Raw genomic sequence first — 14465 nt, forward strand, 5'->3', positions numbered from 1 at the left:
ACATAAAATCTTGAAGAAACATACAACTGTAAAGGTTACCTACCAGAATCTATGCTAAGATGGCTCACTCATAGGGGAAACTGTCTTATAAATGTGTCTACCTTAAATGTCTGTAACTAAACCACTGCAAATAAGATACAACTACTGTCTACTCCAGTTTGCCCTATAATGAATAGTGCGGTTACCATGTATTTCATATTTTAATAACACGATGATGATAATAGGAACAAGAAAAACGACAAAATACTTCCTAAATATTATTATCAATAATAACATAAAGCACCAACTTACTCTCATTTTAAAAGTCCCTTCATCATAACCTCAGTTGTGTGAGATAGGAAAGGAGGAGACTGTTTCCTTATCTACAAATAGAGGTTAATAAACTAGCTAAAGAACTTGGCCAAGGTTCTAGTCCTGTATCTGATAAGCCACGGATAGGCCTACATTTAAGTAATCATTACACATTAGAATTTTACTCCATCTGAATGTAAAAAAGAAAAGCGTTTAAATTTTAAAAAAAGACTGCAATTAAATTATCTTGGCTGGGTGGGGTGGCTCACGCTTATAATCCCAGTACTTTGGGAGGCCAAGGCGGGTGGATCACTTGACGTCACAAGTTCAAGACCAGCCTGGCCAACTAAAAATACAAAACACAAAAATACAAAAATTAGCTGGGTGTGGTGGTGAGTACCTGTAATCCCAGTTACTCGGGAGGCTGAGGCAGAATAATTGCTTGAACTCAGGAGGTGGAGGTTGCAGTGAGCCGAGATCACAGCACTGCACTCCAGCCTGGGAGACAGAGCAAGACTCTGTCTCAAAAAAAAAAAAAAAAAAAAAAAAATCTTGGCTCAGCCAGGGATGAAACAACTCTAAAAATGAGAAAATTACTCACTCTTACATAAAGCTCTGAGTGGTTATGTGCATACTTTGTATGTCTTGGATCTTTATATTTTCAATAATGTTTCATAGCTTACTTTGTAATCAACAACATACATCCTGAATAAAAGACTGAAGGGGAATGAATCTTCCTGTGGTCACAAAATCAGTTTGTGGCTACTCTTATACCTGCCTTCTTTTCATCTGCCACTTTTAAGTAAACAGTTGATTTCCCACCATCCCAATAAGGCCAAATACTATTTAATTATATTACCGGAATGGGACTAGGGACAGCTGCCACAACGATACCAATAGGTTGAGGAGAAAGGATTGAAGGATTTCCATTAGGAAGATTAGTCACTCCATTGCTTGTAGCACTTTCTGACTTTTTTGCTGCAGATTCTCCTGGCAAAGGGGATTGTAGTTTCTGTTCTTGCTGCTTCTTCTGGATTTTCCGTTGCAACTGCTGTTTAGCATCAATTGGAGATGGCAAAGTCTTCACCTGAGGCTGAAAGGAATTACTTTCAGCTGTAGGTATAAAAGCAGAAGGCTGGGTAATTCCTTTCATTCCTGAAAATAAACAGAAAGGAAAGCTGCAATAAATACTCTCCTTTATAGAAGGGAGGTTCCTTTGAATTTCTTTGAGAATGTAGCCATCTACTGGACAAAGCAACCAAAATGGCAAATTTTAACTCACAATTTCTTTATGAAGCATTAGACTTCGAATTTATAAACAATTGTCAATATAGTTTTGTCATCTTACAATATGGTTCAACTCAGGCGACAGTTTCAGTTAACAACAGGATTTTAAAATCAGGTGACAGTTTCAGTTAACAACAGGATTTTAAAAACCGTAGCTATATCGTAAATGTGCAGAAGCTGAGATAAATGCCAACACAGCATTTTTACATTTTCTCAAAGGTCAGTAAATTTCCCTCCCCCCATTTCTAATCAGAAATAAATACATGTATTTTCATGATTTTAATATTTAGCCCATGAGGGGCATTCAATAATTCAATAAATATTTGCTGAAGCCACTCCTCATAATGGAATAAATTTGTATGGAGAAAACAGTTTTTAATCCTACCAGCAATTCATGGAAATAGGCACTATTATTTTATTGCTACTATACAATGATTCCAGTATGACCTAGAAGAAATTCAGAAGCAGAATTTCTTAACAAGACTAAAGTTAAGATATTCCAAAAAAGTGTCACTGAGAAAACCTTTAAAACAGTAAGATAAACACTGAAAAAAATTGACAAAATAAGCAAAATATAAATTTTAGGAAAAATGGATTATAAAATAAAAATTTTTTAAAAGCTCATTTCAGATTTAGGGCGTGGCATTGAGATCATTAGAAAGTAAGTTGTGGGCAGTAAAAACAATGAAGAGAAGAAAGGAGAGGAACAACTATCCTGCTGGTACACCTTGCCCTTTCTTTTCTTTTCCCCATCCCAATTTCTGCTTTTCATCATTCTAGTTAACAACAACAACTTGGTGTGGGGAGCAGGAAATAGACAATGAGGAAGCTATAACTCTCTCCCCATACTCAATAATGATGAGGATCTGTTGAACCCCCAGCCCCTTTTAAAAATCACAATTTTTCATCTCAAATCCAGCTCCAGTTGTTTTGCCCCTTTCCGACCCCAAGCCTCAGCTCTGGCTTCTCAGCACCTGCACTCTGGAGAGCCTCTGCCAATGGCTCATAGCTTGGCTGTCTTATCCTTCCTGCCAGGGTTTTGAGACAGGAATGAGTTCCAAGCAGCTGACTTACAAAAGGACATTTGTAACACAACCTGTTCTTAATATGGAGACTATATTTATAAAAAAAAAAATTCACCTTCAAAGGATAAAAATTAGTCTACTATCGAAGGTCTTTTTTGAAAAATATAGTAAGGGCTGAGATCAAAATTTTGAGAGACATTCTAAAAATGTTTTGAGTAATGATACAATTGGTAAAGTATTTACCCTCTCAGGCTGATTGCTTTCAAAAATGGAGTGTCTTTTTAATATATGTAATTTTTAATACTTTTGTTAAACTCACACCTTTATTTGCACTTAGACCTTAAAAATTCATTCATTCAATTCATTCAACATTTCCCACAGTTAGACTTTGTGAATGACAGAAATAGGAAAGAGATGTTTCTTTTCCCCATGATACCTCCTAAATCCTTCATCTGTTGATGTACTCTTTTAGGTGTTGGCAGGGGCAGGAGAAAGACAGCAGAGCAAACTGAAGGGTTCATTCCTTTTAAAGCTTATTTTACTATATGACATTATGATATAATTGAGTGAAGCTGGGCTTTGGAGACAGACAAATCAGAATTCAAATCCTGGCTCCATTACTTATGTGCCCATGGACAAGTTAATTGACCTCCCCAAGTCTATAAATTGGGAATAAATATCACCTATCTCACAGGACTGCTGGGGGAATTAAATGAGGTAACATAAGTGAGCTATTTAGCTCGATAAGGCTGGTCAAGCATTCTCCTGCTGGTCAGTACAATGAATAAACAGACTTAGGTCATACAGTTTACATGCAGACAGGAAAAACTCTGTGACACTCTTTTTCTGAAATGGGTCTTCAATTGACCACAAAAGGAGAGGTTACACACACATACATCCCACATACTAAATGTAAAATTAGAAGAAAACGGACTCATTATTAATGTGTAAAAGATACTAAAAAAAGAAGTGAAGTTAATTAAGAGACTATAATTCTGGCCAAGATAAATCTATTGTAGATTTTTAAATATTCAGAATTAACACTTAGAAGGACAGTCCTTGGAAAAATAAGTCTCTGATCACTATATCACTACATTTTTAACAGACATCCTGATTTTCTAGAATAATTTATCCACTCTAGGTTTATAAGGTATAACTGAAATAAGATATTTTTAAAAATTCATCAGAACTGTTATTTTACACAACTATTAATTTAGGAGGGAGTCATTCTAACAAGACTGTCAATTCCCAAAATTGTCGATTCCAAAAACTCATCTTTGAATAAAAATAGTCATGAATACACAGTAAAAAATATCACTCTTGTTATTTTTTAGTAAGGCTTTGTACGGTTTTGTTTTTTTGAGGCTAAGTTACCTGTCACAGTGTGCAAAGATAATTTTATTTATAAGCATTAGTTTCTGGAATGGGAATCTAACAAGTAATTTTAAAATTTAATCTTATTATTTTACTTCTCTTATTAATTTAGATACACATATACATATATGTACATATAAAAGTACATATAAACACATTCTATAAATGTAAAAGTAGCAATGGAAAAATTAATAACATATCAGCTGGGGAATCTACAGTTTCATATGCCAGCAAAGCAATATATAGAAACATAGCATTAAGCTTTATAATGAAAGGATTATTATTTTCTTGGCTCAACAGACCCATCTGAATTTAGTGTTAAGCGGAGTAAGAGTGAACACATGCAAGTACTAAAAGGATGAAGTTCTTTGATCTAACTCTTCTTTTGCTACCAATTCTAAATACAATAATACCTCTGTCAGTTTTTAGCTTGTTCACAGTAATGTTGTACCTGCTGGTGCTGCTGCCATTACAGTTAGAGCTGCCATTGACTTGGTGCCTATATAGTGACTTTTTACAAGGAAGCGGGCTAATTCCAAGACGGTGTCAAATGGTTGGCTTAACACTTTCTGGGCCCACTCACACACAAGACGGCAAGCAGAAGAGATAACTTCTTCATCAATATTTTGAAGCTGCCCAGAAGGTTCAGCTCCTTCCAACTAGGCAAAGAAAAAAGGAAATGTTAACTTGTAAAAGACCAGAGAAATTAAATTGAAGCATGTTAAAGATATGTATTCTTAATTAGAAGATACAATATAAATCTGTGGGTTAAAGTAGTATGAATTGACCCACTGGCAGACATATAAGAGCTTTGCAAATAAGGGACTCATACCCACTAGTGCACAGCAGTCAGCAGCCTTGCGAATATAACATTTTAAATGGTTTTTAAACATACAAGAAGACTGATGTTTTGAATCTTTCTAATGTCAAAACTATGCCAATAGCCACACATTTTTTCTAAAATTCCTATAAAACATATTACATGATGACTGACTTTTTCCTCTTGACTATACACACATATAGTCAATATGTATTTTGGAAATATCGAGAAATCAGTAACTTCTAAACTTTTGTTCCCCCAAATTTCATGTTGACGTAGGTCATATACACTAACATTTTTCAGCCACTGTGTGATTTTTTTTTTCTTATTTGTAAAAGGCACAGTCGCTAGGCTTAACCAAATGAGACTTTGCAGGATGCATTTCAATGTTAATATAAAGGTACAATTTTACTTATTAAAAAGAAAAGGCTGAATTCTTACCCCATCTCCAGTTTTGTGAAAGTCAAGGTTGGGCAGTGTTGGCATATGAACAAAAGCTTTTTTTCTTAGTCCACTGTAGCAATATGTAATAAACAGTTAAGGTCTAAATATTCAAAATTAAATGAATTGCTTATACAGACAGCACTTTAAAAGTAACCATATATGAAATGAGAAAAAAAAATCAACATGACATAACATCTACTTTCTGAATTCTTCAGTAAGAAAAACCTTAATATTAAAAACTTGGGACACTTTTACTCTTTTGAAACTGAAATACCCCTTTAGAATGTTAAATACTACTGTCTTAAATGAAAAGATTCTCATCTGTTATAAATTTTATGAATAAATGTTCCTAATATGCTGTGCCAGCCACCAGTAACAAACAGGTCAGAAGGAAAGGAATAGCCAGATGGAAACCTGGCACAGGGAAGGGAAACTTCAGCCCAGGGCTCTGGGACAAAAACAACTCTTAAGAGTGTCACAAGGGCTTTAACCTTTTCGTTTCTCTTTTTCCACTGAAACATACAGGATTATCGCCTGTAACATGCCAAAGACACATCAAAACATTTTTGTTTGCATTTGGGAAGCAAGAATAGGTCGTGCCAACTAGTGGTTAGAGAACACCTGGAACCATTTTAGAAAAGCAAGTTTCTTCCCTTCCCCTTCCTCTCATCTCCTCCATTTTATGCTCTGAAAAAAAGACAAGAGCTAAGGGGGAGAAAATGGATGTAATTCTAATATGATACAGAGACCCTCTATTTTACAATCTTCTTCTAAGAGGAGAAAGAACTATAATGAATTCTTAATTTTAATTTCCTTATTTCTGTTTGCTCCTAAGTATTTCTCCATCACAAGAAGGACCTTTTCTGTACTCTGGCTTTAATTTTAATATGGGCTTTAAATGGATGGCTGAAAAATACTTGTACTGAAAGATTAGTGTTTCTGTTAAAGTTCCATAAGATTTTTTTTTTTTTTTTTTTTTTTTGCCAAGGAGATCCCCTATGTTTCTAAATTAAAGGAAGAAACGAAGATAAGCTAGCATCTTTCTCCACTTTTATTCTTATAATTGTTAAACATATGGCAGGCCTCAAAACTTCTTACTGTTAAAACAAAGGAGATCAGACCATTAATAACACTTTACATTGATAGACTAAGGTAAAATCTATCACAATTCTAATCTATGAATAAACCATTATTTGCTATTTCTTTCATAGTGTGATAAATACCTGTGAAAGTTACATTTGCAATTATTCTACTTAAGCTTTTGAGTTGCTTTAATTTGAAGTTTATTTCTAAATAAAGTTGCCAGTTGAACTACAACAATAGATGTTCTATAACAAGTGAGAACACAGAGATATTACTAACACCATTCTGGTAAAGGATATTTAGATTTGCCTCTTGTGCCCAAACGACGTGCCTTCATGTTTGGAAAGACGTTTTTCATGATCTTTCCAAAATCAGCAGCACTTAATGGATGGTAACCAAGATTGTCACAATAGCTCCTGCAAAAGAAGGAAGGACCAATTTAGAGTGACAGAATTCAGAATTATATCGCAGGGTGCTATTTCAATACAATTTGATCCTTCTGACAAAGTGAAGCAAAGGATCTTTCAAGTCATTTGCCACAATGTCTATGATCATCACTCTTTGGTGATGCATGTTAACTCAGGTTTAGTTAGCTGGCTTCAACCTCAGGGTATATAGTCCTGCTTTCAATAACATTCATAAATCTTGCAGTAAGATACAATGTTGGTACAAAGTTTTCGAATTACAATCCCAACCAGTGCTCATAAATGAATATATCCAGCTCAGCCAGTAGGGCTGTAAGTTTCCACATATGTATCAGGCTCACATACTGGGATAATTTCCAATATACATATCATGCACATCAGACAGAGATAATACTACTAGGTGGTTTAAAATTTAGAAACATGATATGTTTGAACTAAAAGGGACCCTACGAATACACCAACACTCTCATTTTACTGATAAGAGAAAAAACAGGCAAGGGGAGAGGTTCCAAAGGTCCTAGTGTTATCCTCCTTCTACCCCCACCATCCCTAGTATTGCTAGGAAAAAAGTTACTTTGTAAGACAGTAACTTCAAGTGGGATCTGGAGACACACCAAGTCTTAACTACTACTGGAATCAGGTGTTCTGTTTTTCTCTAGAGCTGCCAGTCATAGGTAAAATGTCAATCCTCTACCAGTTCAGCAGCAGACCAAGGCCACACCTTATTCTGGCCACCAAGGCCTTTGGGAGAACCACTACCTGGGAAATATGAATGAAGAGGAAGCCAGAGGAATTCCCTTGTCTCCGCCTCACCTCTCATTTAGCATCAACCAGGACAGCTTCTTGATGAAGTCATGCAGAAAAGAAATGAAAACAACTGGAACACATGGTGGGCAGGGTGTAATGGAAACCAGGACTTGGGTCTTTTTGTAGATTGCTGAATGTCCTGATAACATCCCTAAAGTGACCTTAGCTCAAGAAGTTAAGTTGGGAGAGACTCAAGAGGAGGCAGAGACCCCTGGGAGCCTTAATACAGAAAGAATAAGGGTAGCTCTGGAGACAATGCTATTTCTCTTGTTTGTGGCTTCCCTATTCCCACAGCAAATCCTGCATACCCCTGGGGTTAAAAGATGGGAAGGAGTAGCCCAGCAAACACATCACCAACAATGCTACGAGCAGAAAGGGAACTAATGCGTACTGAAAGTTTCCCATATAGGTAGTATTAGCAGCTTCATATTTAAATTGAGACTAAATTTGATACTTTGAGGGCTCAGGGGGTCTTGCAAGGTTGAAGGAGCAAAGTGAAGAGGTAACTATTTTGGGTGCTGACAATGGAAATGAGCTGCATCAAATCATAACAATTTCAGAAGCAAGTTAAATGAGTTCTTTATGGTTCAAACCGGCACAAAAAGAAAATGAGAATGAGGCTCTTTTGCACCCCAGGGACTTGACCCATGTTGATTCCTCTACCTGGAACATTACTTTTCTTATCTTTCAAGTCTCTGCTTAAATTTTATGATTTTTGAAAGGATCTCTTCCGACTAAAGCAACGTCCTCATGTCACACCCTCATCATGTTCCCTATCAGTGTAATCTGTTTCTTTTCTTTGCATGAGTTACAATTACACAATAGTTAATTTATTTGTCTTCTTCATCACACTAAGTTCAAGCAGGGCAGTGACCATACCTATTGGATTCGCCAGTGTATTCTCAGCACTAGGAACAAGATTTAAGGGTCATAGTAAGACCATCTGTATTTAAAACTATAATAAACATTAAAGAAACACATTAAAAGACTTAAAAAAGCAAAGAAGAAACATTGCCCCCCTCCGGATCCTAGGACAGCACTGGCAGAAATGGGTCTAAAAAACTGAAATCAAATAAACAGAGGCAGTGTAATGAGACATTTGAGAGATAATATATCCATTCTATTCTCCATCTGTGTTTCAGATTTTGATTTTTTTTTTCATTAGTAAACCAAAATTTTTTACTTTGGCAGAAGGGGTAGGAGAAAGGTTGGCAAAAGAAGTAATGTTAAGTATCATCGACCTAAAGACATAAAGTGAGCAAAATTAATATAGTAGTTTAGTTTATTTGGGTCAAGGTTGAGGACTGCAGACTGGGAAATGCTGAGAAGTGCTCCAGAGAATGAAGGAAAGGCTCATGTTTTTAAAGAAAAAAGGACAAATTAGGAGAGGGGGCAATTACAAAAATTGTTTGTTAAGAATTCTCATTGGTGTAGAGAAATAACTGATTAGTAATTGCTATACATTGTTGAACTATAGGGTATGAATTATGGTGTCTAGCATATGGCATTGTTAGGTTAGTTTATGGTTACTTGGTGGTGACAGTCTAAAGTCCATACAGCAGGCAGATTACTTAGCTCAAAGAGGGGAGTGAGAGATGACTACTTTCACATTTTAATGCCTCACTGGGCCCAGTAATTTAAAAGAGCTCACGTTCCTCAGATAAAAAGTTTCTTGTCTTTCTTGGTATACAGATGACCAATGCCAAATTTGTTTTTCAATACAATTTATATTGTGTGGTTATTTCACAAAATCATCCAATTCCATCTGGTTTTTGATACTTATTCTACCTCTTGGAAGGATATAACAACCTCATTGTCGAATACTCTGGTGGATAAATATTAAAAGTACTTTGTAGACATAAATAGCTCAAATTATTCCTCCTGAATCATGTCAGAAGAAAACTGCCTATGATTCAAAACTTTATGCTTTGATAACTCATTTCAAACAGAAAATAAAGAGGGCATCAATGTAAAAACAACAAGAACAATACCTAGAATAGGTTCTCAATTTCTTTAATTTTGTGAAATGTTAGAATTGAAAAAATAAATCAGAAGTTGTATAGTTCAACTTCCTGCCAGATGTAGAAATGGTCATACTCTTAAATGATGGGTTACCTCAACACGAACCCTTCTTTGATGGGGAGGACTCTTTATTGTGAGGTGGCCTTATCCAATTTCTAGTGGTTGTAATTTTTAAAGAAAAAGAATTTCAATAGGACACCTTTCCCCATTAAGAAAAATCTAGATATTCAATGATTCTTTTAAAAATCTAATTTAGTAAGTACTTACATAATATTTATTCAATTTTGTCCTATATAACAAACCATTGGTCATTCCAGGCCATGTGGAGATCTTGGTTAGTTTACATCTCATTTTCCTGCTTCACAACGTTAACTGCAGGTTGACCAAGCAAGATACAGTGTCAATTGACTCTTAACTCAGTGTCAGATTATACTTTGCAAGACTCAAAAAAGGGTGAGGAACGGAGAATGTTCTGTTTACGCGATCACTAACACTCTAATGTCATTTTAAAAATGAAATAATTTCACACCCGTAATCCCATCACTTTGGGAGGCCGAGGCAGGCAGATCACAAGGTCAGGAGATCGAGACCATCCTGGCTAACACGGTGAAACCCTGCCTCTACTAAAAATACAAAAAATTAGCTGGGCGTGGTGGCAGGCGCCTGTAGTCCCAGTTACTCGGGAGGCTGAGGCAGGAGAATGGCGTGAACCCAGGAGGCGGAGCTTGCAGTGGGCCGAGATCGCGCCACTGCACTCCAGCCTGGGCAGTAGAGCAAGACTCCGTCTCAAAAAAAAAAAAAAAAAAAAAAAAAAGAAGAAAGAATTGTTTTTTTTTTTCTCTTGCTCCTTGTTTAAAAGTACATTTTTAAGCCTGAAATTAAGCCTAATATTCAATATGACTATGAACACATCACTCAAAATCCATGGTAACAATTCAGTCTTTAATATTCATTCATGTCACAAATTTAATTGTACAAGTTAAAGGTAAACATTGTTTAATGGTACAAAAATATAAACAATGAATCACAAAAGACTTGTGGTAAAATATAGTCATGGGATACCTAACCATACCTGACATTTTTTGAGTGCTTTCTTTGTGTTAAATCATTTAATCCTCTCAACAACCTTAAGACAGGTAGTTTTATTAAACATATTTTATAGATGAGGAACTTGCACAGAGAGGTGCACTAATCCCTTTATTTAACAGATGAGGTATTTTTATTGCTAATTGATAACTATAAGCATACTGAATGAATAAAGAAGAATCAAATAGCAATAAAAAATGATGCAGGCGATATCGCCACTGATCCCACAGATAAAACAATAAAAAATGATAATAAACCAATAAAAAATGATACAGGGGATATCGCCACTGATCCCACAGAAATACAACTACCATCAGAGAATACTATAAACACCTCTACGCAAATAAACTAGAAAATCTAGAAGAAATGGAAAAATTCCTGGACACATACACCCTCCCAAGACTAAACCAGGAAGAAGTTGAATTTTTGAATAGACCAATAACACGTTCTGAAATTGAGGCAGTAATAAATAGCCTACCAACCAAAAAAAGCCCAGGACCAGATGGACTCAAAGCCAAATTCTACCAGAGGTACAAAGAGGAGCTGGTACCATTCCTTCTGAAACTATCCCAAATAATTGAAAAGGAAGGACTCCTCCCTAACTCATTTTATGAGGCCAGCATCATCCTGATACCAAATCCTGGCAGAGACACAACAAAAAACTTCAGGCCAGTATCCCTGACGAACATCAATGCAAAAATCCTCAATAAAATACTGGCAAACTGAATCCAGCAGCATATCAAAAAGCTTATCCACCACCATCAAGTCAGCTTCATCCCTGGGAAGCAAGGTTGGTTCAACATATGTAAATCAATAAATGTCATCCATCACATAAACAGAACCAATGACAAAAACCACATGATTCTCTCAATAAATGCAGAAAAGGCCTTCGAAAAAATGCAATATCCCTTTATGTTAGAAACTCTCAATAAACTAGGTATTGATGGAACATATCTCAAAATAATAAGAGTTATTTATGACAAACACAGCCAATATCATACTGAATGGGCAAAAGCTGGAAGCATTCCTTTTGAAAACCGGCACAAGACAAGAATGTACTCTTACCACTCCTATTCAACATAGTACTGGAAGTTCTGGCCAGGGCAATCAGGCAAGAGAAAGAAAGAAAGGATATTTAAATAGGAAGAGACAAAGTCAAACTGTCTCTGTCTGTAGACAACATGATCCTATATTTAGAAAACCCTATTGTCTCAGCCCAAAAACTCTTTAAACTGATAAGCAACTTCAGCAAAGTCTCAGAATACAAAATCTATATGCAAAAATCACAAGCATTCCTATACATCAATAGACAAGCAGAGAGCCAAATCATGAATGAACTCCCAATCACAACTGCTACAGAGAATAAAATACCTAGCAATACAGCTAACAAGGGAAGTGAAGGACCTCTTCAAGAACTACAAACCTTCTCCCTCTCCCTCTCCCTCTCCCACTCCCTCTGCCTCTCCCTCTCCCTCTTTCCACGGTCTCCCTCTGATGCCGAGCCGAAGCTGGACTGTACTGCTGCCATCTCGGCTCACTGCAACCTCCCTGCCTGATTCTCCTGCCTCAGCCTGCCGAGTGCCTGCGATTGCAGGCGCGCGCCGCCACGCCTGACTGGTTTTCGTATTTTTTGGGTGGAGACGGGGTTTCGCTGTGTTGGCCAGGCTGGTCTCCAGCTCCTAACCGCGAGTGATCCGCCAGCCTCGGCCTCCCGAGGTGCCGGGATTGCAGACGGAGTCTCCTTCACTCAGTGCTCATTGGTGCCCAGGCTGGAGTGCAGTGGCGTGATCTCGGCTCGCTACAACATCCACCTCCCAGCAGCCTGCCTTGGCCTCCCAAAGTGCCGAGATTGCAGCCTCTGCCTGGCCGCCACCCGGTCTGGGAGGTGAGGAGCGTCTCTGCCTGGCCGCCCATCGTCTGGGATGTGAGGAGCCCCTCTGCCTGGCTGCCCAGTCTGGAAAGTGAGGAGCGTCTCTGCCCAGCCGCCATCCCATCTAGGAAGTGAGGAGCGCCTCTTCCCTGCCGCCATCCCATCTAGGAAGTGAGGAGCGTCTCTGTCCGGCCGCCCATCGTCTGAGATGCGGGGAGCGCCTCTGCCCTGTCGCCCCGTCCGGGATGTGAGGAGCGTCTCTGCCCGGCCGCCCCGTCTGAGAAGTGAGGAGACCCTCTGCCTGGCAACCGCCCTGTCTGAGAAGTGAGGAGCCCCTCCGCCCAGCAGCCGCCCTGTCTGAGAAGTGAGGAGCCCCTCCGCCCGGCAGCCACCCCGTCTGGGAAGTGAGGAGTGTCTCCGCCCGGCAGCCACCCCGTCCGGGAGGGAGATGGGGGGGTCAGACCCTCGCCTGGCCAGCCGCCCCATCCGGGAGGGAGGTGGGGGGATCAGCCCCCTGCCCGGCCAGCCGCCCCGTCCGGGAGGCGAGGGGCGCCTCTGCCCGGCCGCCCCTACTGGAAAATGAGGAGCCCCTCTGCCCAGCCAGCCGCCCCGTCTGGGAGGGAGGTGGGGGGGTCAGCCCCCCGCCCGGCCAGCCGCCCAGTCCGGGAGGGAGGTGGGGGGGTCAGCCCCCCGCCTGGCCAGCCGCCCCGTCCAGGAGGTGAGGGGAGCCTCTGCCTGGCCGCCCCTACTGGGAAGTGAGGAGCCCCTCTGCCCGGCCAGCCGCCCCGTCCGGGAGGGAGGTGGGGGGGGGTCAGCCCCCCGCCTGGCCAGCCGCCCCGTCCGGGAGGGAGGTGGGGGGGGGGTCAGCCCCCCGCCTGGCCAGCCGCCTCGTCCGGGAGGGAGGTGGGGGGGGTCAGCCCCCCGCCCGGCCAGCCGCCCCGTCCGGGGGAGGGGGGGTCAGCCCCCCGCCCGGCCAGCCGCCCCATCCGGGAGGCGAGGGGAGCCTCTGCCCTGCCGCCCCTACTGGGAAGTGAGGAGCCCCTCTGCCCGGCCAGCTGCCCCGTCCGGGAGGGAGGTGGGGGGGGTCAGCCCCCCGCCCGGCCAGCCACCCCGTCTGGGAGGGAGGTGGGGGGGTCAGCCCCCCACCCGGCCAGCCACCCTGTCCGGGAGGTGAGGGGCGCCTCTGCCCGGCCGCCCCTACTGGGAAGTGAGGAGCCCCTCTGCCCGGCCAGCCGCCCCGTCCGGGAGGGAGGTGGGGGGGGTCAGCCCCCCGCCCGGCCAGCCACCCCGTCTGGGAGGGAGGTGGGGGGGTCAGCCCCCCACCCGGCCAGCCACCCTGTCCGGGAGGTGAGGGGCGCCTCTGCCCTGCCGCCCCTACTGGGAAGTGAGGAGCCCCTCTGCCCGGCCAGCTGCCCCGTCCGGGAGGTGAGGGGAGCCTCTGCCCTGCCGCCCCTACTGGGAAGTGAGGAGCCCCTCTGCCCGGCCAGCTGCCCCGTCCGGGAGGGAGGTGGGGGGGGTCAGCCCCCCGCCCGGCCAGCCACCCCGTCTGGGAGGGAGGTGGGGGGGTCAGCCCCCCACCCGGCCAGCCACCCTGTCCGGGAGGTGAGGGGCGCCTCTGCCCGGCCGCCCCTACTGGGAAGTGAGGAGCCCCTCTGCCCGGCCACCACCCCGTCTGGGAGGTTTACCCAACAGCTCATTGAGAACGGGCCAGGATGACAATGGCGGTTTTGTGGAATAGAAAGGGGGGAAAGGTGGGGAAAAGATTGAGAAATCGGATGGTTGCCGTGTCTGTGTAGAAAGAGGTAGACATGGGAGACTTTTCATTTTGTTCTGTACTAAGAAAAATTCTTCTTCCTTGGGATCCTGTTGATCTGTGACCTTACCCCCAACCCGGTGCTCTCTGAAACATGTGCTGTGTCCACTCAGGGTTA

General features: G+C 41.6%; 1 protein-coding gene across 9 annotated transcripts in view; it reads right to left on the reverse strand.

The window, feature by feature from the left end:
• RFX7 (regulatory factor X7) overlaps positions 1-14465 on the reverse strand; it is a 157803-nt gene that overhangs the window by 9651 nt on the left and 133687 nt on the right. For all 9 annotated transcript variants that reach the window (NM_001370561.1, XM_047432948.1, NM_001368073.2 and 6 more), the window contains 4 exons: positions 6624-6740; positions 5239-5323; positions 4429-4636; positions 1151-1446 (listed from right to left, as the gene is read on the reverse strand). In NM_001370561.1, coding sequence (NP_001357490.1) covers positions 1151-1446; positions 4429-4636; positions 5239-5323; positions 6624-6740 — 706 coding nt within the window. The remainder of the gene's footprint in view (positions 1-1150; positions 1447-4428; positions 4637-5238; positions 5324-6623; positions 6741-14465) is intronic.

The sequence above is a fragment of the Homo sapiens genome, chromosome 15, assembly GCF_000001405.40.
Source record: "Homo sapiens chromosome 15, GRCh38.p14 Primary Assembly".
NCBI lineage: Eukaryota > Metazoa > Chordata > Mammalia > Primates > Hominidae > Homo > Homo sapiens.